The sequence below is a fragment of the Homo sapiens genome, chromosome 4 (assembly GCF_000001405.40).
Source record: "Homo sapiens chromosome 4, GRCh38.p14 Primary Assembly".
Classification (NCBI taxonomy): domain Eukaryota; kingdom Metazoa; phylum Chordata; class Mammalia; order Primates; family Hominidae; genus Homo; species Homo sapiens.
Genome location: NC_000004.12, coordinates 108,537,018 through 108,560,671, shown reverse-complemented (window position 1 = coordinate 108,560,671; position 23,654 = coordinate 108,537,018). Strand labels below are relative to the sequence as shown.

General features: G+C 39.6%; 2 long non-coding RNA genes across 2 annotated transcripts in view; one reads left to right on the top strand and one right to left on the bottom strand.

Annotated features, from left to right (window-relative positions):
- The window catches only part of RPL34-DT (RPL34 divergent transcript), an 82,268-nt gene extending 59,786 nt beyond the window's left edge, over positions 1-22,482 (top strand). Inside the window, exons 2-4 of the long non-coding RNA NR_026968.1 lie at positions 3,608-4,407; positions 18,456-18,653; positions 19,858-22,482. This is a non-coding gene — a long non-coding RNA (RPL34 divergent transcript). The remainder of the gene's footprint in view (positions 1-3,607; positions 4,408-18,455; positions 18,654-19,857) is intronic.
- LOC101929621 (uncharacterized) lies at positions 280-3,439 on the bottom strand. The gene is made up of 2 exons (NR_134679.1): positions 3,354-3,439; positions 280-779 (listed from the first exon to the last, which is right to left on the bottom strand). It is a non-coding gene; the product is annotated as an uncharacterized LOC101929621 (long non-coding RNA).
- Positions 22,483-23,654: the final 1,172 nt, after the last annotated feature.

Sequence of the window (23,654 nt, the reverse complement as noted above, 5' to 3'; positions counted from 1 at the left end):
TCAAGAACAAGACTGACCATTTTGTGAGGTGGTTAGGGCTGAACTTTCAGATTTCAGATTTTATAAGAAGTGACCGAGAAAAAAATTAATCTGGGCTTCATCTAAGCAACACCAAGGCAACTGGTTAGGAAGTGAGAAGTCCAGTCAATTGGTGTGGCTAAGCAACATCAAACACCTTGGTTTTTCTAAGGAAATATTTCAACATGCCAACAATTTAGGCTTTATGCAGATATAAGACTGAAATCCTGCCTGCAGCCAGGTTCCCTCAATAAAACTTGCTAAAATAAAAAAGATTTTATTTTAAGAGTTTCATATCACAAATGAATAGCTGCTGGTCAAAGCACTGATAAACACAAAGCAATGTATAGAGCTGGGAAAATCCCTGGGCTTGTTTTCTGGGACAGCATTAGCAATGCCCCCACGTGGGTTCCATCTTTCTTGGGGGCTTTCTCAGCACACACTTGTGTGTGCCCTGCAGCTCCTTGTGGGAATACTGATGCACGGGTCCTTGCAGAATCTTCAGCCAAACCTCTGTCAGCTGGGAGCAGCAGTATGGGAAAGAGTGGCCAAAGCTGGTTCCATCTGGCACAGGCCCGAGGCCTCTGGCCACATTATTTTCATTGTACTTAGCACTGAATGCTTCATAGTGCTTGAGAAGGCTTTGTCTTTATTAGTTTTCACAACAGTCCATGTTGTAGGATATCATTAATATTAGATTTCCCATTTTAGAGTTCAAGAAGCTGCTGATCAGAAGGCTTAAGGGACTTGTCCATCATCACCTGGAAAATGAGTATTTGACCCAGGATTAGATTGCATAAATACGGGTCTCCAATGGCTCTAATACTGCAGAGTCCACATAGAGTCTCTAATGGCTCTAACGGCTGCATAGTCCACATAGAGCATTGGGTCTCTAATGGGTGCATAGTCCACATAGAGCATTGCCATTTTCTCTGAGAACCTAAGGGAATACTTTTCTCATCTCGTAGGAACCCCTCTCTTCCCAGGGCCCAGGGAAGCCCCTCCCAGTCTTATCTCAGGACATGAACTGGGTCTGAACTGCTGGAGGCACTCTCTTAACCGAGGTTGGGCTCAGCTCAGCTCTCATTCTATGTCACACAAAAAGACCCACGAGGGTTTGAGATGAGCTGGGTTTTTTTTTTTTTCCTAATCTGCAATACTAGTACATAAAAACATAACCTTAGGGAGCATAAACTGAATAAGCCAAAGCTAATCTTTTAAAGCAATTCAATTTGATATGGCAAAATATGAGTCATCTTCCATGTGCAAGACCCAAGGATGAATGAAAACAGTCCTGACACTCCAGGAGTTCACACCCTTCCGAGGTAGACAAATGCACACACACTCATTTGCACTACAGGGTTCACTGCATAATTGTTACACAAGAAGTAGAAACTACATGTTAAGTGGGTCCAGAAGAGGAAGGAGACTCCGATTCTGACCAGGGATGTCTGGAAGCTTTCTCTGAGGAGATGGGAGGGGCCCTTGACAAGTCAGACTTGCAAAAGCAGAAACAGAGGTCCTGCGTGATTTGCCCAAGCTCAGAATGCATTTCTTCATCCATCATACCAAATAGCTTCAGAATCATTATCTGAATGTTACAAGGGAGATATGGTGTAGTGTAAAATTGAGATGATTTTTATTCTCAGCTCTATTTTGCTAAAAAAAAATTCCAAGAATAAGGCAGTGGCAGAAGTGACCCATTTTTCTCATTTTGCATAAATTTGATTTAAATTCTCACTACTGGGGACTTTAATAATAATAAGATTTATCCAGAGCCTTGCATCAGTGTTAAAGAAGGACGTTCATTCAGAGGAAAATTTTCAAAAAGATCAACCATGCATTGAAATCCATTTATGTTTCCTATGTTTCTAACTGGCGTTCCTTGAAATATTTGCTAATTGCTAAATTATTTTAGCCAAGATTAAATCCCCTGGTTTTTCTACTTATTTGAGTTAGTATCAAGTGAATAGATAAGGTGAAATCTATTTCCTCCACGGAAGTAGATTAAGAGGTTATAAACATAGGATTAGACTTAACTATAGTATTAAGCAGGAGAAACTGGTCATAATGTATGACAATGAGTTTTTTTCCATGTTCAAAAATAGTGTACTTGTCAAAGCACCGGGGCATTACACTGAGAGATGCTGCATAAATACTTTCTATTATTATCTCCCCTTTAAAAGTGATTTTCTGAGAAATCTCTAATACAAAAAATTTTTTCTGCTTAGACAGATATGTGTTCTTTGTTTTAAGGTATCTACTTGTTTGGAAATTTCTGCTTAAAACCAGTACCTTGAGGCTGGGTGTGGTGGCTCATACCTGTAATCCCAGCACTTTGGGAGGCTGAGGCGGGCAGATCACTTGAGGTCAGGAGTTCGAGACCAGTCTGGCCAACATGGTGAAACCCTCATCTCTACTAAAAATACAAAAAAATTAGCTGGACGTGGTGATGTGCACCTGTGGTCCCAGCTACTCGGGAGGCTGAGGCAGGAGAATTGCTTGAACCCAGAAGGCAGAGGTTGCAGTGAGCCAAGATTGCACCACTGCACTCCAGCTTGGGCAACAGAGTGAGATTCAAAAAAAAAAAAATCCAAAAAACAAAAACACCAGTACTTTGAGATAAGATATTGGGTACATGTGAATCTGACAGAGAGACTATATATTCAATTTTGTCCAAAAATCTTAAGTCACCTGATTATACACAGTATTGTGTACAGTGTTCTTCAGCTGAGAGCTGTACAACCCTAAGGTTAATGAATTCAGGCCGAGCTCCATGGCTCATGCCTATAATCCCACCACTTTTTGGGAGGCCGAGGCAGGAGGATCACTTGAGCCTAGGAGTTCAAGACCAGCCTGGGCAACATAGTAGGACCCTGTCTCAAAAAAAATTAAAATAAATACATAAAATTAATGAATTCAGTCATTTGATTAATCATTATTGAATACATATGATGCACCAGGCATTGTACTACATGCTAGTGCTTGCTTTAAAGAAGCCTACAGTTTTATAGAGTAGACAAACAAACAGTAAACATACAAACAACACTCACTGAATATGATGAAAACTCTATTTTCTTGAATAGAAATGGCACAGGTTATAAAATGCACCATTTAAAAAAATCACTTAGAAAAACTGTGGCCAATTAAACTATGACACAGTATTGATTATAAGATTCATTCCAACTTCAGATATGTTAAAATATGAAAAAAAAGTATATATCAGAATCAGCGAAATGCAGTACTCTCAAGGAAAAACAGGGCTGCGTTAGACTATCACAGGGAGATCTTTAAATAGGGATGGCCTCCACGCTGAGATACATTTTAGCTCGTACCTGAAGAATAAGAAGTTGGTCTCACTTCAGCCCAAGAGGAACGTTCCAGGCAGCAGGAAGAGCCTCAGGTCACAGAGGCATGTTTGAGGCACCTAAATTATATTTCACAGGTTTGGTAGCAGTTATCTTGGGGCTTCTTCCAAACCACCACTGTTTTTAATATAGAATTCTAAACCATTGAGGCATCTCCCTTTCCACATGGTCCTCTGCAGCTGTTGTAGCTTTCCTGCTGTTGTTGTGTGTTCTGCTTTCAGGCTGCTCACTGGCCCGTCTCCTCTCATGACTGCTGCTCTGGGAACCACCTCTCTGCTCTCCATCGCTACCACTCTAGCCTGTGGCCTGCTCCTGGTTGAAGAAGCCATCAATGAAAATGAATACCACTCTGGAAATCTTGGGTGGTCTGACCTGATATTTTCGCATAGTGGCCACAGATATTTTAGGCCCCCAAGAGGTAGTCTTACTCTTTCAATTTTACTGGCTCCACTGTTTGAGGAACTTGGAACAATTTCCCCAGGGACTGGTCTGGAGGTACTGTTGAATAACACCACGGTGTTTTTTTTCCTCTCCACCAAGGGCCCGTTGATGTCTCAAGACCAGACATAAAACTTTTGGTGCTCAAGTCACTCAGAATGAGAGTCCTGCTTTCCCTCAGCACTCTTGCCCTTTGAGGGTGGGGCCAAATGTTTTCTTCCTTTCTTACTGAGGACTTTTGATCCTGGTTTTTGATATTTGTCATTCCCAGGGGGAATTTTGTACCCTGTGTCTTGGTAAAGTGTAAGACCACTGTGGATTTTGGGGTTAAGTCTCATTTCCCTATCCCTCCCTTCAAGAGAAGAAAGAAAGAGAGAATACCCAAACCCTGCATCGTCTCTCACTCGCCTGTCCAGAGCCTATGGAACAGCCATTGGGGCAGCTGTCACAAGCTGTTCACACAGCTTTTCTGATATACTGACAGTCTCATGAGGAAGTGCATATAACTCCCTGCAATGGTTTGAATGTGTCCTCCGAAGTTTATGTGCTGGAAACTTAATACTCAATACAACAGTGTTGACAGGTGGGACCTTTAAGAGGTGATTAGATCACAAGGGCTCCGTCCTTATGAATGGATTAAGGTTATTGAGAGAGTGGGACGCTTATGCAAGCAAGTTTAGCCTCCTTCCTGTGTGCTCTCTCTCTCTTTCTCTCTAAAAAAGAATGGGAGTTATTAGATGCTTTTTTTCAAAAAGAACCCTGGCTCCTTATACTATCTCTACAATTTCTTTACATCCTATTCTAACTCCTCACATTCCATTCCTTCTTAATCTTACTTAACCTTACTATAGTTTTCATTTTCACCAAGATTTATAGTGACTCCAGCTAGTCAAAAACGATGGTTAACATTCTTTATGATTTCATCTTACTGACCAATTGGCATGTGGTTAACCACTCTTCCACTCTTAAAACACCCTTGGCTTCCCTGAGACCATGTTCTTTGGATTTTTTCCCATACCATTGGCTTTTGTTTCACTCCTTTGGGTTTTCTTTCTTTGCTCAACTCCTAAATTTTTGAGTACTCTATAGGCTTGATTTTGGTTTCTCTGTTTGTTTTCTGTCTTTATCCTCATTCTAGGCAATCTCATAACCACCAGAATTATGACAATTTCCAAATGTATTTCACTAGCCCCACTAAGATCCAAACTTACATATCCAACCTCCTCCTTAATATGAAATTTGATAGCTAATAATCATTTGAAACCAGAATTCTTGATTCCTCTCTCAAATCTGTTCTTGTCTTTATCATTTCAGTAAATGACATATCTACTTAGTTGTTCAAGCTAAAAACCTAGAAGTCATTCTTGATTCCTTCCTTTCTGTCACCCCTGTGTCCATCCATCAGCAAATCTAGTCAGCTCACCCTCCAAAATCAATCTCAAATCTGATTATCTCTTTTATTCTCTATCTTTACTCTCTTAGTCCAAATAATTGGCTGCAGTAACTATCTAACTGGTCTCCATGCTTCTATGTTTGCCCCCTTACAACCCATCCTCTACATAGCATTCAGGGTGATTTTTTAAGGAAAATGTAACTCAGCGCATGTCTATTCTCTATCATTTAAATTAAACAAAATTCGACTTCTTCACTTTGTGTGATTTGGTCTCATCACACAAGCTTTATCCATTTGAGATTTTGTTAATTTGTTATCAGGTGCAAAGATAGATCCTTTTATTCTTTAAAGGCAGATATAACTTTTCAAATACATCCTTTTACTTTCAACTAAACCCCAATTTTGCTGGCAAAAGAACACTGCTTTTCCTTTTTAGGAACTGGTTGTGGGCAGGTTTAAGGTACTGATAGGATGACCAGACATGTAGTGGAGAACCCCAGTGTCATTGCACAAATGCCAGCCTTCCCCATGTTCATGGCTGAGCCTAGTTAAAACTGTAGGGGAATTAAAGTTTTCTTCAGTGCACCAGCCATTTTTGGGGGGGTAATTATTGGGGGAAATGCTGTATCACTATCACCTGCCTCTCCTGCACTTATTTTGCAAAGTTTATAGTGCTTTCTTCTAGGCCTCCATAAAAATTTGTTCTCACAATTTCTGTGTGTGAAATGTGAACCCAAAAGTATCTGAGACAGGTCTTGATCAATTTAGAAAGTTTACTTTGCCGAGGCTAAGGACACACCCGAGACACAGCCTCAGGAGGTCCTGACAACATGTGCCCAAGGTGGCAGGGTACAGCTTGCTTTTATACATTTTAGGGGGACATAATAATACATCAATCAATAGATGTAAGATTTACAGCGGTTCAATCTAAAAAGGCAGGACAACTTGAAGTGGGGACTTCCAGGTCATAGGTAGATTTAAAAATTTTCTGATTGCCAATTGATTGAAAGAGTTTTTATCAGTAGAAAACAAAGTCTGGGTTGTGATAAGTGGTTGTGCAGTCCAAGGTTTTATCATGCAGTCGAAGCCTCCAGGTAGCAAGTTTCAAAGAGAATACATTGCAAATGTTTCTTATCAGACTTAGGGTTTGTGTTGATGTTAAATGCTGGTCAGCTTTTCCTGAATTCCAAAAGGGAGGACGGCATAATGAGGCATGTCCAATCCGCCATTCCCGTCATGGCCTGAACCAGTCTTTCAGGTTATCTTAGGAGTGCCCTGGCCAAGAGGAGGGAGTCCATTCAAATGGTTGCGGGGGTCATAGAATTTTATTTTTGGTTTACAGAAATAATCTGTAAAAATGTATTAAAAATAACAAAGCAAACAGTTTGCATTTGTTTTTAAAAGATAGTCATGCCTTGTGGCATGTAATACTTGTAATCCCAACACTTAGGGAGGCCAAGGTGGGAGGAACACTTGAGGACAGGAGTTCAAGACCAGCCTGGGCAACATACTGAGATCTCATCTCCAAAAATAACAGAAATAAAAAAAAAAATTAGCCAGGCATAGCAGCATGCACCTGTAATCCCACCTCCTCAGGAGGCTGAGGTGGGAAGATCTCTTAAGCCTAGGAGTTTAAGGTTACGGTGAGCTATGATGGCACCACTGCACTCCAGCCTGGATGACAGACAAGAAAGAAAGAACAAAAGAAAGAAAGGATGAACAAAAGAAAGAAGTGGGGAAGGAAGGAAGGAAAGAAAGGAAGGGAAGGAAATAGTTCATTTGACAAAGACTCCCTTATTGAGCAAATGTAGTCAGGCTCCTCTGAGCCCTCCTTTGACTAGACTTTCTCTTTGGCCCAATCTTTGGCTTGCCAAGTCTAGTTTTAGCTTTGGATACTGCTTAGCCAGTTTATAGAGAATCCCACCACCTTTGATATCTAATCAAGCTCTCCTCCCTACCCTTGATGTCTAATCAAGTTCTTCTCCCCCAATGTTGTTGATACCTAACCAAGTCCCTCTTTAGTATGTTTCTATCCAATGACTCCCTCATCATGCCCCTTGAATATATATTCCCACTTATCCCTGTTGTATTTATTTATTGATTGATTTTTGAGGTAGGGTCTCACTCTTGTCACTTAGGTTGTTATCCCTGTTGTATTTAGAATTGAGTTCAATCTCTCTCCTCTATTGCAATAGTCTTGAGTAAAGTCTTCCTTGCCATTTTTAACAAGTGTCTAGTGCAAAATTTCTCTTCAATGTGTTGATTCTATGCACCTCTTTTTCATTTTTAAATTATCATTAATTCTCCCCCGATCCCCCACAGTATAAATCTTCTCTTCTCACTATGTTCTGACACATTAATTATTTAAGCAAGGTTATTATTATTTTAAAAATCATAGACATCTATCTATTCCTTGATCTCTGTTCTTAGAGCGGCTTCACAGTTGTAATCCTGATATCTCTTTCACATTGCATTTTGGGGATTCTTTTTGCCTTTCTCTTATGTAGGATTCCCCTATTTAGTTCCGCTGTCTTCTTCTTTTTAATTTTTTTAAACAAATTTTTGGGATACATGTGAAATTTTGTTACATGTATGTAATGCACAGTGATCAAGTTGGGGTATTTAGGATGTCCATCACCTGAGTACAACACATTTTTTGTTAACTATAGTCACCCTACTCTGCTATCAAACATTGCATTTATCTCTTCTATCTAATTGCATGTTTGTACTCTTTAACCTATTTCTTTTCATTCTTTCTCCTTCCCCCAGTCACCTTTCCCAATCTCCATTATCTCTTTCCACTCTACCTCTAGGTGATCAAATTTTTTAGCTTCCACATGTAAGTAAGTACATACAATATTTATCTTTTTATGCCTGGCTTACTTCACTTAATATAATGATCATTCATGTTGCTGCAAATGACATGATTTCATTCTTTTTTTATGGCCAAATGGTATTCCACTGTGTATATTTACCACATTTTCTCTACCTATTCATCCATTGATGGGTATTTAAGTTTGTTTCATGTATTTGCTATTGTGAATAGTGCTGCAATAAAAATGCAAATGCTTTGTATCCCTTTGATCTATTGGTTTCTTTTGGATAGATACTTGGTAGTGGGGCTGCTGGATTGAATTCTGTTTTTAGTTTTTTGAGAAATCTCCATACTGTTTTTCATAGTGGCTGCACCAGTTTACATTCCCAGCAACAGAGTATACAACTTCCTTTTTCTCCACATCCTCACCAACATCCATTTTTTTTTTGTCTTTTTAATAATAGCCGTTCTGACTGGGGTGAGATGATGTCTCATTGTGGTTTTGATTTGCATTTCTCTGATGGATTAGTGATGTTGAGCATTTGAGCATTTTTTCATATACCTGTTGGCCATTTGTAGGTTGTCTTTTGAGAAATATCTATTCATGTGCTTTCCCCCACTTTTTTTTTTTGAGACTGAGTCTCGCTCTGTCACCAGGCTGGAGTGCAGTGGTGAGATCTTGGCTCACGGCAACCTCCGCCTCTCGGGTTCAAGCAATTATCCTGCCTCAGCCTCCCGAGTAGTTGGGACTACAGGCGCACCACCACACCCAGCTAGTTTTTGTATTTTTAGTAGATGGGGTTTCAGCATGTTGGCCAGGATGGTCTCTATCTCTTGACCTCGTGATCTGCCTGCCTTGGCCTCCCAAAGTGCTGCGATTGCAGGCATGAGCCACTGCGCCCAGCCTCTCCCACTTTTTAATGGAATTATTTGTTGCCTTTTATTCCTGTTGAGTTGTTTGAGTTCCTTGTATATTCTGGATATTAGTCCCCTGTTGGATGAAGTTTGCAAATGTTTTCTCCAAATCAACAGGGTGTCTCTTCACTTTGTTAATTATTTCTTTTTTGTGCAGAAGCTTTTTTTGTTTAATTAAGTCCCGTGTGTCTATTTTTATTTCTGTTATCTATGCTTTTGAGGTCTCAGTCATACATTCTTCGCCTAGACCAATGCCCAGAAGAGTTTTCCCTAGGTTTTCTTCTAGTATTTTTATAGTTTTAGAGCTTGTGTTTAAGTCTTTAATCAACTTCAAGTTGATTTTGGTATGTGGTGAGAAATAGGGGTCCAGTTTCCTTCTTCTGGAATGTGGCTATCCTATTTTTCCAGCACCATTTATTTAAGAGATTGTCCTTTCTCCAATATGAGTTCTTGGTGTCTTTGTCAAACATCAGTTGACTGTAAGTGTGTGGCCTTATTTTTAGGTTCCCTGTTCTGTTCCATTGGTCTATATGCCTATTTTTATACCAGTATGATGCTGTTTGGGGTATTATAGCCTTGTGGTATATTTTGAAGTCAGGCAATGTGATGCTTCCAGCTTTGTTCATTTTGCTCAGGATTGCTTTGGCTCTTGGGTTCTTTTTTGATTCCACATGCATTTTAGGACTGTTTTTTCTAGTTCTGTGAAAAATGATGGGATGTTATCATTAAAATTGCATTGAATCTGTAGATTGCTTTGGTCCATATGGTCATTTTAACAATTTTAATTCTGATTCATGAGCTTGAGATGTTTTTCCATTTGTTTGTATTATCTTCAATTTCTTTCATCAGTGTTTTGTAGTTTTCCTTGTAGAGATCTTTCACCTCTTTGGTTAAATATATTCCTAGGTTTTTATTTCTTTCTTTGTTTTTGTAGCTATTGTAAATTGGAATGCCTTCTTGATTTCTTTCTTGGCTAGATCATTATTGATGTATAGAAATACCACTGATTTTTGGGCATTGATTTTGCATCCTGCAGCTTTACTGAATTCATTAATCAAATCTAAGAGTTGTGTGTGTGTGTGCACGCGTGTGCATGTGTGTGTGTGTGTGTGTAGTCTAGTTTTTTCTAGGTATATCATATCAATAGCAAAGAGGGACAATTTAACTTCCTCTTTTCCATTTTGGATGCTGTTTATTTTTTTCACTTGTCTGATTGCTCTGGTTAGGACTTCCAGCACTGTGTTGAACAGGAGTGGTGAAAGTGAGCATACTTGTCGTGTTCTAGTTCTTAGAGGAAAGGCCTTCAACTTTTCCACATTCAGTATGCTGCTAGTTGTGGGTTTGTTGTATATGGCCTTTCTTATTTTGTGGTATGTTCCTTCTATACATAGTTTGTTGAGAGTTTTTTTTGTTAATCATGCAGCCATGTTGAATTTTATTAAGTGATTTTTCTGCATCTATTGAGATGATTATGTAGTTTTTGTCCTTCATTCTGTTGACATGATATATCATGTTTATTGACTTGCATATGTTGAACCATTGTTATATCCCTGGTATAAATCTCATGTGATCATGGTATATTATCTTTTTGTTTTTTGTTTATTTGTTTGTTTGTTTGAGACAGGATCTCCTTATGTTGCCCAGGCTGGAGTGCAGTGGTGTGATCTTAGCTTATTACAGCCTCAACCTTCTGGGCTCCAGCAATCCTCCCACGTAAGCCTCCTGAATAGCTGGGACTACAGGTGGATGCCAACACACCTGACTAATTTTTGTATTTTTTGTAGAGATGGGGTCTCACTATGTTGCCCATACTGGTCTTGAACTCCTGGGCTCAAGTAATCCTACCACCTTGCCTTGGCCTCTGAAAGTGCTGGGGTTACAGATGTGATAATCCAATAGCAAATCCAACAGCACATCAAAAAGATAATACACTCTGCCAGGCCCTGGGGTATTATCTTTTTGATGTGCTGTTGGATTTGGTTTGCTAGTATTTTGTTGAGGATTTTTGTGTCTATGTTTATCAGAGATATTGGCCTGTAGTTTTCTTTTTTGTTGTCTCCTTGTAGTTTTGATATTAGGGTGATGCTGACCTCATAGATGAGTTAGGAAGAATTCCCTCCTCTCTGATATTTTGAAATAACTTCAAGAAGATTGATATTAGTGCTTTGTACATTTGGTAGAATTCAGCTGTAAATCTATCTGGTCCTGGGCTTTTTGTTGTTGTTGTCTTACTCATTCAATCTTACTACCTGTTATTGGTTTGTTCAGGTGTTCTATTTCTTCATGATTGAATCTGGGTAGGTTGTATGTTTTCAGGAATTTATCTGTATCTTACAGGTTTTCCAGTTTGTCAGTGTATAATTGTTCATCGTAGTCTCTGATGATCTTTTGTATTCCTGTGATGTCAGTCGTAATGTTTCCTTTTTCATTTCTGTTTTTGTTTGGATCTTCTTTCTTCTTGGTTAGTCTAGCTAGTGGTTTATCAATATTGTTTATTTTTTTGAAGAACCAACGTTTCATTTTGTTAATCTTTAGTATTTTTTTAAGTCTCTATTTCATTTAGTTCTGTTCCAATCTTTATTATTTCTTTTCTTCTGCTAATTTTTGATTTAATTTGTTCTTGGTTTTCTAACTCCTCAAGGTGCATTATTAGAATGCTCCTTTGTAATTTTTCTACCTTTTTGGTGCAGGCATTTAGTCCTATAAACTTCTCACTTAGCACTGCTTTTGCTGTATTCCACAGGTTTTGGTATGTTTGATATTTATGTTTCATTTGTTTCAAGAAATTTTTTGATTTCTGTTTTGATTTCCTCATTGGCTCAATGGTCGTTCAAGAACATGTTGTTTAATGTCCTTGTATTTGTCTAGTTTTGAGAGTTTCTCATGATATTGATTTTTAGCTTTATTCTATTGTGATCTGAGAAAATACTTGATATGAACTTGATTTTTAAAAATTTTCTGAGACTTATTTTGTGGCCTTACATATAGTCTGTCTTGGAGCATGTTCCATATGCTAATGAGCAGAATGTGTATTTGGCAGTTGTTGGATAGAATGTTCTGTAAATGACTAAATAAAGCCTACTTTAAGTTCAATTTTTTGTGTCAATTTTCTGTCTAGATAAGCTGTGTAATGCTGAGAGTGGGGTGTTGGGAAATCCCCCACTATTCCTGTACTACAGTCTATCTCTCTCTTTAGATATAGGAATATTTGCTTTATGAATCTGGGTGTTCCAGCCTTGGGTGCATATATGTTTAGAATTGTTGTATTCTCTTGCTGGATTGACTTTCACTAACATATAATTATCATCTTTGTCCTTTCTTTTTTTTAACTGTTCTTGACTTAAAGTCTGTTTTATCGGATATAGCTGCTCCTACTCACTTTCGGTTTCCATTTGCATGGAATGTCTTTTTTCATCCCTTTGCTTTCAGTCTATATGTCTTTACTAGTGAGATGAATTCCTCAAAAGCAGCATATAGCTGAATCATTTAAAAAATATCAATTCAACCATTCTGTATCTTTCAATTGGATAATTTGATCCATTTACATTGCTATGTGAGGTTTTGTTCCTGTCACATTGCTAATTGTTTTCTGATTTTCAATATATTCTTTGTTAATTTTTTTTTCTGTTATTGTTTGTCATTGTGGTTTGGTGGGTTTCTGTCATGGTACCATTTGAGTCCTTTCCTCCACTGTGTGATTTCTTTACCAGTGAGATTTACAGTTTGATGTGTATTCATGATGGCAAATGACATTCTTTTGCTTCCAGGTTTAGGATGGCCTTGAGCATTTCTTGTAGAGCTGGTCTAGTGGTAATGAATTCCCTCAGCATTTGCTTGTCTAGGAAAGACTTTAATTCTTCTTCATTTACAAAGGATAATTTTGCTGGATCTAATATTCTTGGCCCTGACCCATGTTCAATTTCTGATATTCTTTCTTCTGCTCAATCTAGTCAGTTGATGAAGTTTTTAGATGTATTTTGTATTTCATTCAATGAACTATTCACTTCCAGAATTTCTGTTTGGTTCTTTTTAAAAATGTCTATGTCTTTAGTAAATTTCTGATTCATATTCTGAACTGTTTATCTGACTTCTTCAAGAATTCTCTTGTATCTCACAGAGCTTCTTTAAAATCAGTATTTTGAATTCTTTATCTGGAATTTTATAAATTTATTTATTTTTGAGATGTCATTCTGTTGCCCAGGCCAGGGTGCAGTGGTGTGATCTCAGCTCACTGCAACCTCTACCTCCCAGACTCAAGCAATTCTTCCTGCCTCAGCCTAACAAGTAGCTGGGATTACAGGCACCTCCCACCATGCCCAGCAATTTTAAAAAAATTTTTAGTAGAGATGGGGTTTCACCATGTTGGCCAGGCTGGTCTCAAACTTCTGGCCTCAAGTGATCCACTGGCCTTGGCCTCCCAAAGTGTTGGGATTACAGGCATGAGCCCTGAGCCCAGCTTATAAATTTCTTTTTGATTGGGATATGTTGCAGGAGAATAATTATGTTCCTTGCGAGGTTTCATATTTCCTTGCTTTTTTATGTTGATATTTGTGTATCTGGTGTAACTGTTGCTTCTTCCAATTTTTTGAAATTGCTTTCTTAGGGAAGGACTTTCTCCTGAAGGTGTATATAACGTTGTTGGTTGGGTAGGGCACTTTGGCTTTTCTTTTGGGAGCATGCAGTATTGTAATTTCTGTATGACTTCTTTGGCTATAAACAGTATCAGTGGTATCTGTGATTTACTCAGTGGCTTATGATGTGGTTATTATTTGAGACTGTGATGAAGTTTTGCTGGGGAGTAGGATGCCATGGGCCAGTCACCAGGTCTCAGTGGTGGTAGTGGTGAGCTTAGCATGCCTGTTCTTTGGCTTCAAGGCAGCTTGTGCCGGCACTGGTGTTATTGGGTCCAGGAGGGTTGATCCTTGCCTCTAGGTGGCTTGGGAGGGTGCTGGTAATGCCAATGGCGGGGGAGGGGGGGTTGCTGGGCATGTGAGCAAGTTCTTGGGCCCTTGGAAGCTGGTGTGATATGGGTGATGGCAGTGGCGGTGATGGAGCATCCCCATTGGAACCCACACTGTGGCCTGTGAGAAAGCCCAAACTAAACCTGTGAAAGACTATGTGGAAAGAGAGAAATGCCCAGCAACCCCCAAGCTGTTCAACTCACCCATCTGAGATAATAGACATTGAGAAATAGAGACAATCTGTCTCCTCTGTGCTCCATCCAAATTCTTGGAATCAAAAGATATAGTTGCTACAAGTCACTAAGTTTTGAGATCTTTTCCATGAAGCCACATAAAACTGTAACATTTAGGAAATAATTTGAGACCTTGAATGTCTTGAAATGTCTTCTATTTATCACTTATTTAATAGTTTGGATGGATATAGAATTCTTGATTATTAGATTTTTTCTTCAGAACATTGAAGGTATTGTTCTGTCGTCTTCCAGCCATTAGACACCTCAGTGGCATAGAAAAAGGCACATATTACTTCAGAGATTCTGAGGGTTTTCTGAGCTATGTGATAGAAAATGAGGCAGAGATCAAGTATATATTTCTTATTATAATATTGCACTCTAGTTCCTCCATCTACTTCCTAGTTTTCAAAATTGTGTTGTTCTATCCCTCTACTACTGTCATTCTCTTGTAGATTAATTCCTTCTTAAACCATCTACTATAATATTAATAGGATTAGGGGAAACAGTGGTTGTAATTGTGTGTGCAGGTAACCTGTATTTCTGTTTTGTATGCTGTATTATTTAGAATTATTTGTTTCACATTGTCTCCCCTGTGAAATTGTAAACTCCATGATTAGGGACCATTTTCTTTTTCACTACTGTATCCTCATCTCCTAGCACAGTGCCTGGCACGTAGTCGTTATTTAATAAACACCTCTTAAATAAATGAATAGAGAAATGCCCGAGGCAGGAGACAGGAAAGGTGACAGGGACAGACACATCAAAATAAAACATTATAATATCCCTCATCATTTTGTCTAGACCAGTGGTTCTTAAAAGAGGGTGACTTTACCACCCAGAAGACATTGGTAATGTCTGAGGACATTTTTGATTACCAAAATTAGAAGGTGGGACAGTTTGCTATTGACATCTAGTGAGCAGTGTCCAGGGATTCTGCTAAACATCTTACAATGCACAGCTCAGCTCCCTGCAACAAGGAATTATACACTCTAAATGTCAGTAGTGCTGAGGCTGAGAAACCCTGGTCTAGACCAAGCTCTAATATATAGCTAATATTTATAATTTGGTATTTCTTAAATACGTGGCCCATTTTCAAAATACCACAAGCGTGGGTCAAAACTTCTATCTATATGCCTTTTTTGGTGTATGGGCTCGGTGGAGAAGTACTAGGTTTGAGTATCCTATGGCTCACCCCTTTATAGCAGTTCATTTTACATATTCCCCACCTTTTTTTTGAAAGCTAGGATTAGTGGATAAGGAAAAGAGTAGGAAAGAAATCCACAGAGTCCCTACTTAATTCATTAATTTTCTTCCTACCTTCAGTTGTAAGTAGATTTAATGGTGTCTTACATTGTTTCTCAGCTGTTCCCCTATCTTCTCAGAGAAAAGTGCCTACCAGGCTGTTCACAATAACCAAACAGGGTAATCATAGCACTCTAAGACTAGAAGGGGCCTCGTTTTAAGATAAAGTAATTATGCCTTATGTAGCTAGCTCAATACAGAACTAGAATAAAAATTTGGGTTTGTACTATAAGGTAGCTGTATTCTGTTGTAGCATGTTCTTCGAATTAAAAACAGCAGCCACAAAACTCTGTTGACCTCACAAATCTATCTTCAACAACGCAGTGAATAAAATGCTTACCCTATTCTACTTTCATAAAAACTGAAATCACCTGGGGCGACCATTCCATGTTATCCAACCATACCAAATGCTACACCACAGACAGTTGATTATGACCTTGCAGAGAAAGCATGGATTTGTAGTTATACGTTGTGACATGCAGCACATTTGGGAGTCTTGCGTAAGCTATGTTTTGATGACAGCTATGTTTGCAGAATGAATTCATTCAGGCTAAACTCAGCAGTTAGTCATGGTTGGTTATTTAATGCTTTACTACTCCCCAACTCCACCTCACTCTTCCAAATTCATCATTTAAGTCCAGACAAAGTTGGCACAAAAGGGAAGTTGCGCCTTCTCCTCTGCAGTTCTTGTTCCACTAATGACTTGCTATAAATTCAAAGCTAACCATTTTGCTTTTGTTACTCTCTCTCTAGAAGCTGGATAATAATATGGCCTCCTTCCTCATTTTCTTCTCCCAGAGTTTTTTTTTTTTTTTACATGAAGTGGAGTGCAGTGGCACGATCTGAGCTCACTGCAACCTCTGCCTCCTGGGTTCAAGCGATTCTCCTGCCTCAGCCTCCCGAGTAGCTGGGATTACAGGCGTGTGCCACCACACCTGGATAATTTTTTTGTATTTTTAGTAGAGACGGGGTTTTGCCATATTGGCCAGGCTGGTCTCGAACTTCTGACCTTAGGTGATCTGCCTGCCTCAGTCTCCCAAAGTGCTGGGATTACAGACATAAGCCACTGCACCTGGCCTTCTGCCAGAATTTCCGAAAGCCCGTAACACAAAAGTTCTTTGACATCTTCAGATAAATGAAAGCCCTGAACCAAATCCATGTAGTCTCTGACTGCTTCTCCCTTCACAGCTCTGTATCATGAGAGTTCAGTCATTCCTTTCTTTTCTCACCTTGCCTAAAGGTGTCCTCTTCCTCCAGGCTCTGCAGTACTTCTCTAAGCCCGAATATTTAACCACACTTCTGGGCTGGGTTTTTTAACAGAAGTCACTCAGCCTTCTCATTGGGCCACAGACTGGAGTGGATAATCCGCCATCATCTGTGACCACGGAATAGCTTTTAAGCTCCTTTCATCGCCAAGAGGGAGCCTGGATACTGGCTGCTTTTCTATCAATCCCCCGCTGAGCACTTCCTCCTTCCTCATTTATGTTCATTTTCTTGTATTATTTATGTACGTTACTTTTCTCCACTAAATGTAGTTCCTTGAGGACAGGACTCTATCCACAGAATCGCCATGACAGCCAACTCTATGGTTTGTCCCTAATGGATTTAATTAGTATTTGTGCTAGAGTGATAGGGGAAGTTATAGCAGATGTGCTCTATGCCCTGGTCCTTATTTCCCTTTTTACCTTATTTATCTGGTGACTTCCTATTTATGTAGCTAGATCAGGGGGCATTCATTTCTTTAGGGGTTTTCAATGATGAGATCAGAAAGGAAAAAATGCAAATTCTTGCAAAATAAATTTAACATCACATTTTTGTCCTAAATATTAAAATGGGAAAAATTTTTAAGGATAAGCAAATAGGTAGAATCATTTTTTCTCCTTCCTCCACACTTTCCCTACCAGGTCAAGATCCCAGCAACTAAAGATAAAGAGTGTGGGAGGAGCAAAACAGTTTAAGAAATTAGTCTGGCCAGGAGCAATGTCTCATGCCTGTTACCCCAGCATTTTGGAAGGCCAAAACAAGAGGCTCACTTGAGGCCAGGAGTTCAAGACCAGCCTGGGTAACATAGTGAGACCTTGTTTTGATAAATTTTTTTTTTTTCAGTTAGCCAGGCATGATGGTGTGAGCCTGTAGTCTCAGATCTTCAGGAGGCTGAGTGGGGAGGATTGCTTGAGCCCAGGAGTCTGAGGTTACAGTGAGCTATGATTGCACCACTGCACTCCAGCCTGGGCAACAAGGTGAGATCCTGTTTGTAAAATGAAAAAGAAAAGAAAGACATTAGTTTGTCTGTGGACCTTGTCTCCTGCCCCAACCCCCAGAGAGCTTAAGGATATCCCTGATCTGAGTTCACCTGGTCTTTCTGATCTCTTCTGGAACTCATCTATGACTTAGAGAAAGAGGATAGAGATAGCATTGAGGGTAGAAGGAGCACAGTGAGTGCCTGTGACAGTTCAAGGTTCTTTGGGGAGCCCAGAGGACTATAGATGACTGATCTTCTGGTTCTGTAAGAAAGTCCAAGAAAATAGGGACAGAAGGAGAGGTGAAAAAGGAGAGAGAGTGGGGGAGAGGGGAAGATGAAAGGGGAGAGAGAGAGAGACAGAGAACCCACTACCCAGGAAACACATAGAAGGAAAAGGGGAAAGAAATAGAGAAAAAGGAGAGAGAAGAAAAGGAGAAAGGGAGAGAAAGAAATGGATTACCTTCTTTACCTGGCTTGAGTTGAGATTTTCTACAAACCAGGAAAGGGTCGTCCGAGAGATATGTAGTAAGTAGATCAAAACTGTTTCGTAGACCTGAAACAATTGGTTGTCAGCAATATTGTATCATTTAACCTAATATCACAGGCAAGGCTGCATGGTAACTTTCAGGAGCAGTAGGCACTTCCTCCTTAGAAAAAAAGTAAAAAGTATATTTTATGACCAGGTTAGAATAAAGGTGAATGTATTAACATTACCCATTAAAACATGTTCTTTGACCTAAAACTTTATTTTTTCCTCCGGATTTCTAAAGAAATAAAAATCTGTCCATGGGCCCTAAACATATTGTGAGTCTCTAGTCGCTGTGCCCTTTGTGCCTGCTGGGGATATTGGCCCTGGCAACAGGATGAACATGGACCACTGGAGCCTGGAATTCTGCCACTGAGAGATTCCCCGGGAGCATGGCTTTCTTTTCTTTCCTGGGTTCCGTGGATTCTCTCCTTCTCCTGAGGTATGGTATGCTAGTCCCTCTTGCATTCCTATAAAGAAATACCTGAGGCTGGGTAATTCATAAAGAAAAGGGGTTTAATTCACTCATGGTTCTGCAGGCTGTACAGGAAGCATAGCAGCAACATGGGCTCGACTTCTGATGAGTGCCTCAGGAAGCTCACAGTCATGGTGGAAGGTGAAAAGGGAAGCCAGCATATCACATGGTGAGAGCAGGAGCAAGGGAGAGAAGGGGGAGGTCCTAGACTTTTTTTTTTTTTTGAGACAGGGTCCCACTCTGTCACCCGGGCTGCAGTGCAGTGGTGCAATCATGGTTCACTGCAACCTCAACCTCCTGGACCCAAGCAATCCTCCCACCTCAGCCTCCCAAGTAGCTGGGACCATAGGTGGGTGCCACCATGCTCAACTAATTTCTTTTTTGTTTTTGTAGAGACAGGATCTCACTATGTTGCCCAGGCTGGTCTCGAACTCTTGGACTCAAGTGATCCTCCTGCCTTGGCCTCCCAAAGTGCTGGAATTACAGGTGTGAGCCATTGAACTTGGCCTCCAGACTCTTTTAAACAACCAGATCTTAAGTGAACTAACTGAGCAAGAACTCACTCATCACCAAGGGGATGGCACTAAGCCATTCATGAGGGATCTGCCCCCATGATTCAATACCTTCCACTAGGCCCCACCTCCAACATTGGAGGTCATGTTTCAACATGAAATTTGGAGGGGACAAACATCCAAACCATGTCATATAGGTTTCTCCTGCATTGGCCTTTACACAGGTAAATAAATGCCTCTAATCTCGAACCCCAATCAGAAAGTCCCTCATGTCATTAGTAAGGATAATTCCATTTCAACTGGGAACTAATTGTAAATGCAGGGCTTTCATGCTGCTATGTATATTAGCTTGACAATCCAATTGAGAGCTGCCCACTCTAATATTAAAAAACAAGCAAAACCTCAAAGCATCACTCTCACCATATGGATACAGAGCTCCTGACCACCATGCACATTGTGGCTAGTGACCAGGGAAGGGAACTAAAAGCTCGTCTTCATTGTTGGGTGCATTCACATATTGGCAAGCTTGCAGAACTCCCACCCATTTCCTTCTCCACTTATTGCCCTATTAAGACTGTGGCAGAAAACACATCGGATCCTGCTCTGAAAACCACAGGGGCTCATAGGAGTGAGTGACATTTTATTTCTCTGCCTTTCAGGAATTAGCCTCCTTACTGTCAGACCAGCCACAGAACTTCCTCCCACTTATCCCTTAGATGTCAACTACCCACACTTCAAATCACCCTGGAGACTGATGTGACTGGGATGATTTGACTGCATGTAGGTCAGAGCTGCCTCCAGGCAACTTGTGGGGCCAAGGCTCTGTGGCTAGAAGGAAGTGAGCATTAATACATCACTTAGAACAGCAAAAATCATCATCTGAAGATCATCATCTGAAAAGATCAGCATCAGAAGAGCTGTGAATATCACCGATCTGATAATTGGGTATTTTTGGTAAAACACACACACACACACACACACACACACACACACACACACACGCACAGATGCACACAGCCCTGCTTTTATGAGAATTGAGCTTAAATAGATGTGGGTGGAGGTTTTACTGAACTGGATATTTCTTAACTTTTGGAGTACAACACCTAGTCTCCTAATTCCTGTCCTGCATAGCGTGCTTACACAGTATTTTAAAATTAGAGATAATTAAATTTGATTTTGTTTCAATAATTATTTTGACAGTTTTAAAATATCTTTTGGAATTGTTTGTACCATTCCAGTCCTTTTCAAATCCAAGACTGAAATGAATTTTTCTAGCTATTTATCCCATCTTTGAGTTAAGAACATAGGTCCTTGCGTTTCAGTTTAATAGGTGATTCTTTAAAATTTGTTTATTTATTTAGAAGCAGGGTCTCACTATGTTGCTGGCTGGTCTTGAACTTCTGGGGTCAAGTGATCCTCTCACCTCAGCCTCCCAAGTAGCTGGGATTACAGGTGTGAGCCACTGCACCTGGCTCTAATAGTTGATTTTTGAAACCATATGGAACATTTCAAGTTAATAAAAATTTTTAATTAAAAAATATGTGCACAATTCACAGATGATCAGTCTTTTGGAATTATTATAGAATATTTTTGACAATAAAACTATGCTGAACTCAATCTTTTCTTAATGATTATGAAGATATTTTCTGATTGCAAAACTATGAAAATTAATGGTCATTGTGATATTGTTGTGAGTCTAGGTCAATGTGGAGTTCTGGAGACAGAATAATACCTAAAGTAGATCTGTTTTTTACTTTGGGAACTGATTATAACACCTGGAAATTATGTGTTATATTATTTAATTAAATGAGACAATGTATATAAATAAACCAAGCATTGGGGCTTGGCACATAGTATTTTTCAGTCAATGAGAGAAGAGTTTGAATATGAAATTTTTTATGCACTGGGGAGTAACTTCCTAGATCTATTTCTCTATGTACTTCCTCTCTGTCAATCTCACTCATTCAACAATACTTACTAAGCATATACTATTAATATTATATTGCATTGATTCTAAATCAGACACATAGTCACATTTTATTAACTCTAAAACTGTGATCAGTTTTAACATTGCTGGTGGCTTACAAATACTGTCAGCTAGAAGCAATCATGATGTACTAGTTGGCTATTCTTTTTGGTGGCACAATTGGATAACTGAGCCCCTTCGTGTTTCTGTCAACTGACGTTTATGTTTGAGGAAGGCACATGAATCAGGGCCATTGTTTGAAATCTAACCTTTGGCAAAAATCGGTAAGGAACTAGCCCTCAAACTTGCCTAATGGTAGGTGTCAGCGGCTTGGATGAAAATTCCCAGGGATAATAGAGGAGTACTCTTTTAAGAAATAGTGTAGCACCAACACTCTAGATGGTACAGAAGATGGATACTGTGGGAAAGTCAGGGACACTGATCACTCTATTTGAAAGGTAATTCAGCAAATTTAGACTCACACATATAAAGAAGTTTAGAAAATTGAACCAATTACTTTTGTTTATATTTTTCTTTTTATGTATGTGTAAGAGATAAGATAAATATCTGTGACTAAATATGTCTCTTATACCAAATAGAAAAATATATCCAAGAAGAAATTATAATGTCATTGTTTTATTAAGCATTATGTCATGCTTTTTGGAGGCATTTCCACCCTTTTTTATCTTTCTTAATGGTATATAAAATTGCAGTGCATTTCACCATCAGTGGTTCATTGGATTCGGTGAAGTCTAAGTAACTGCTGGACCTTGCGTTAGGCTTTTTAGATACAATTAATTAAGCAAATATTTATTTATTTATTTATTTAAATTGAGATGGATTCTTGCTCTGTCGCCTACGGTGAAGTGCAATGGCACCATCTCGGCTCACTGCAACTTCCGCCTCCCAGGTTAAAGCGATTCTTCCACCTCAGCTTCCCAGGTAGCTGGGATTACAGGCACTCGCCATCATGCCCAGCTAATTTTTGTATTTTTGTAGAGATGGGGTTCTACCATGTTGGCCAGTCTGGACTTGAACTCTTGACCTCAGGTGATCCACCCGCCTTGGCCTCCCAAAGTACTGGGATTACAGGCGTGAGCCACCACACCCGGCAGCAAATATTTATTGAATGCCTACTGTGTGCCCCAAGCTGTTCTAGGTGCTATAAATGGGCCAGACAAGCTGTCAGGGAGGTTGCCCTGGCTGGGAAGACAGACATCAGACAACATAATTCCAGAGCTGGATAAATACTAGGGAGAAAAACAAATGTGTGATGTATTATAATGGATATTGCAATAAACACTGGGATTTAAGACACAATTTCTGTTCACAAGGCATGTATGATCTAGGGTCAAAGTAAGTGGTGGGTAAAATGCCATGAACTCCTGAAAAGTGTGAAGGACGTAATAGTTAAACTGCCCTGAAAGGCTAGTAAGGTTTAGCCAGCTGAAGAGCATGGGAAGGGCATTCCAAGCAGAAGGACGATCATGTTTAAAGGTCAAGAAAGAAGAGGGAGGCTGGTGAGTTCCTTCAACAGCAACTAGTCAGATGGCAGAGTCTACAGTGTGAGGGGCAAAGGAGAGGCCTAGAAAGGTAGGCAAGGCTTGGAAGATCTTGGATGTTATGGTGAGTCTTTTGGTCTTTATACTAAGAGAAATGGAGAGATACTCCAGGATTTCATGCAGGGTATAAACATGATAGGATTTGCGTTTTAGGAAGATTACCCTTGCTGGAGTATGGAGAGTGGATTAATCTTCCTTCTCCCTCTGCAAGCAAAGATGACAGTTGCAGTCATTCAAAAATAAGAAGATGGTAGCCATGTTAAATTCCCCAATTTTCCCAACTTGATTGGATTGTTGTCCTGTTTGTATGGGGTCTTTATAAGAAAATGTCGACTTCAGCAACCTATGATCTCTGCCCAAGGTGAGCCCAGTTACAGCCACTACAATGACTTTTAAATGAAGTCCTATCAAGTTACTTGGTTAGAAAAAGAGATTAATAAACCCACTGATCTAGTGAACAACCTGTCAATAAAAATGCCACCCCAATTACATGATAAAGTCAAAAATCAAAGTGTACAGTTACCCTCCTAAGCTTCTGTGAGACTGAAGAATTTCCATCTGAGATTTATCAAAGGGTCTCAAAAGGCAAAGAATGGTTCAGATGAAACTCAATTGATTTTATATTTCTGCCAGAACTCTGAGTTTTCTACAGGTCCCAGCCTGTCAAGTATTTAAAAAATCATAATTTTATCACAGATTCCTTTTACGGTTTGGAAGGAAGAATGCCCCAGCAAGTGCTAGACTGATAAATGCTGGTCATGTGTCTGTTTAAGCAGATGTAAATGAAAATGCCAAAAGGCTCAAGTTCAAAGGATTCACTACCTGAGAAATGTCCCTTTTTGGAATTCCCTCTTTGGAAATGCACTTGGCAAAAAGGTTTCTTAAGCAGGCTGGGAAGACACAGCTTCAGTACAGTTCGTGCCTCTCC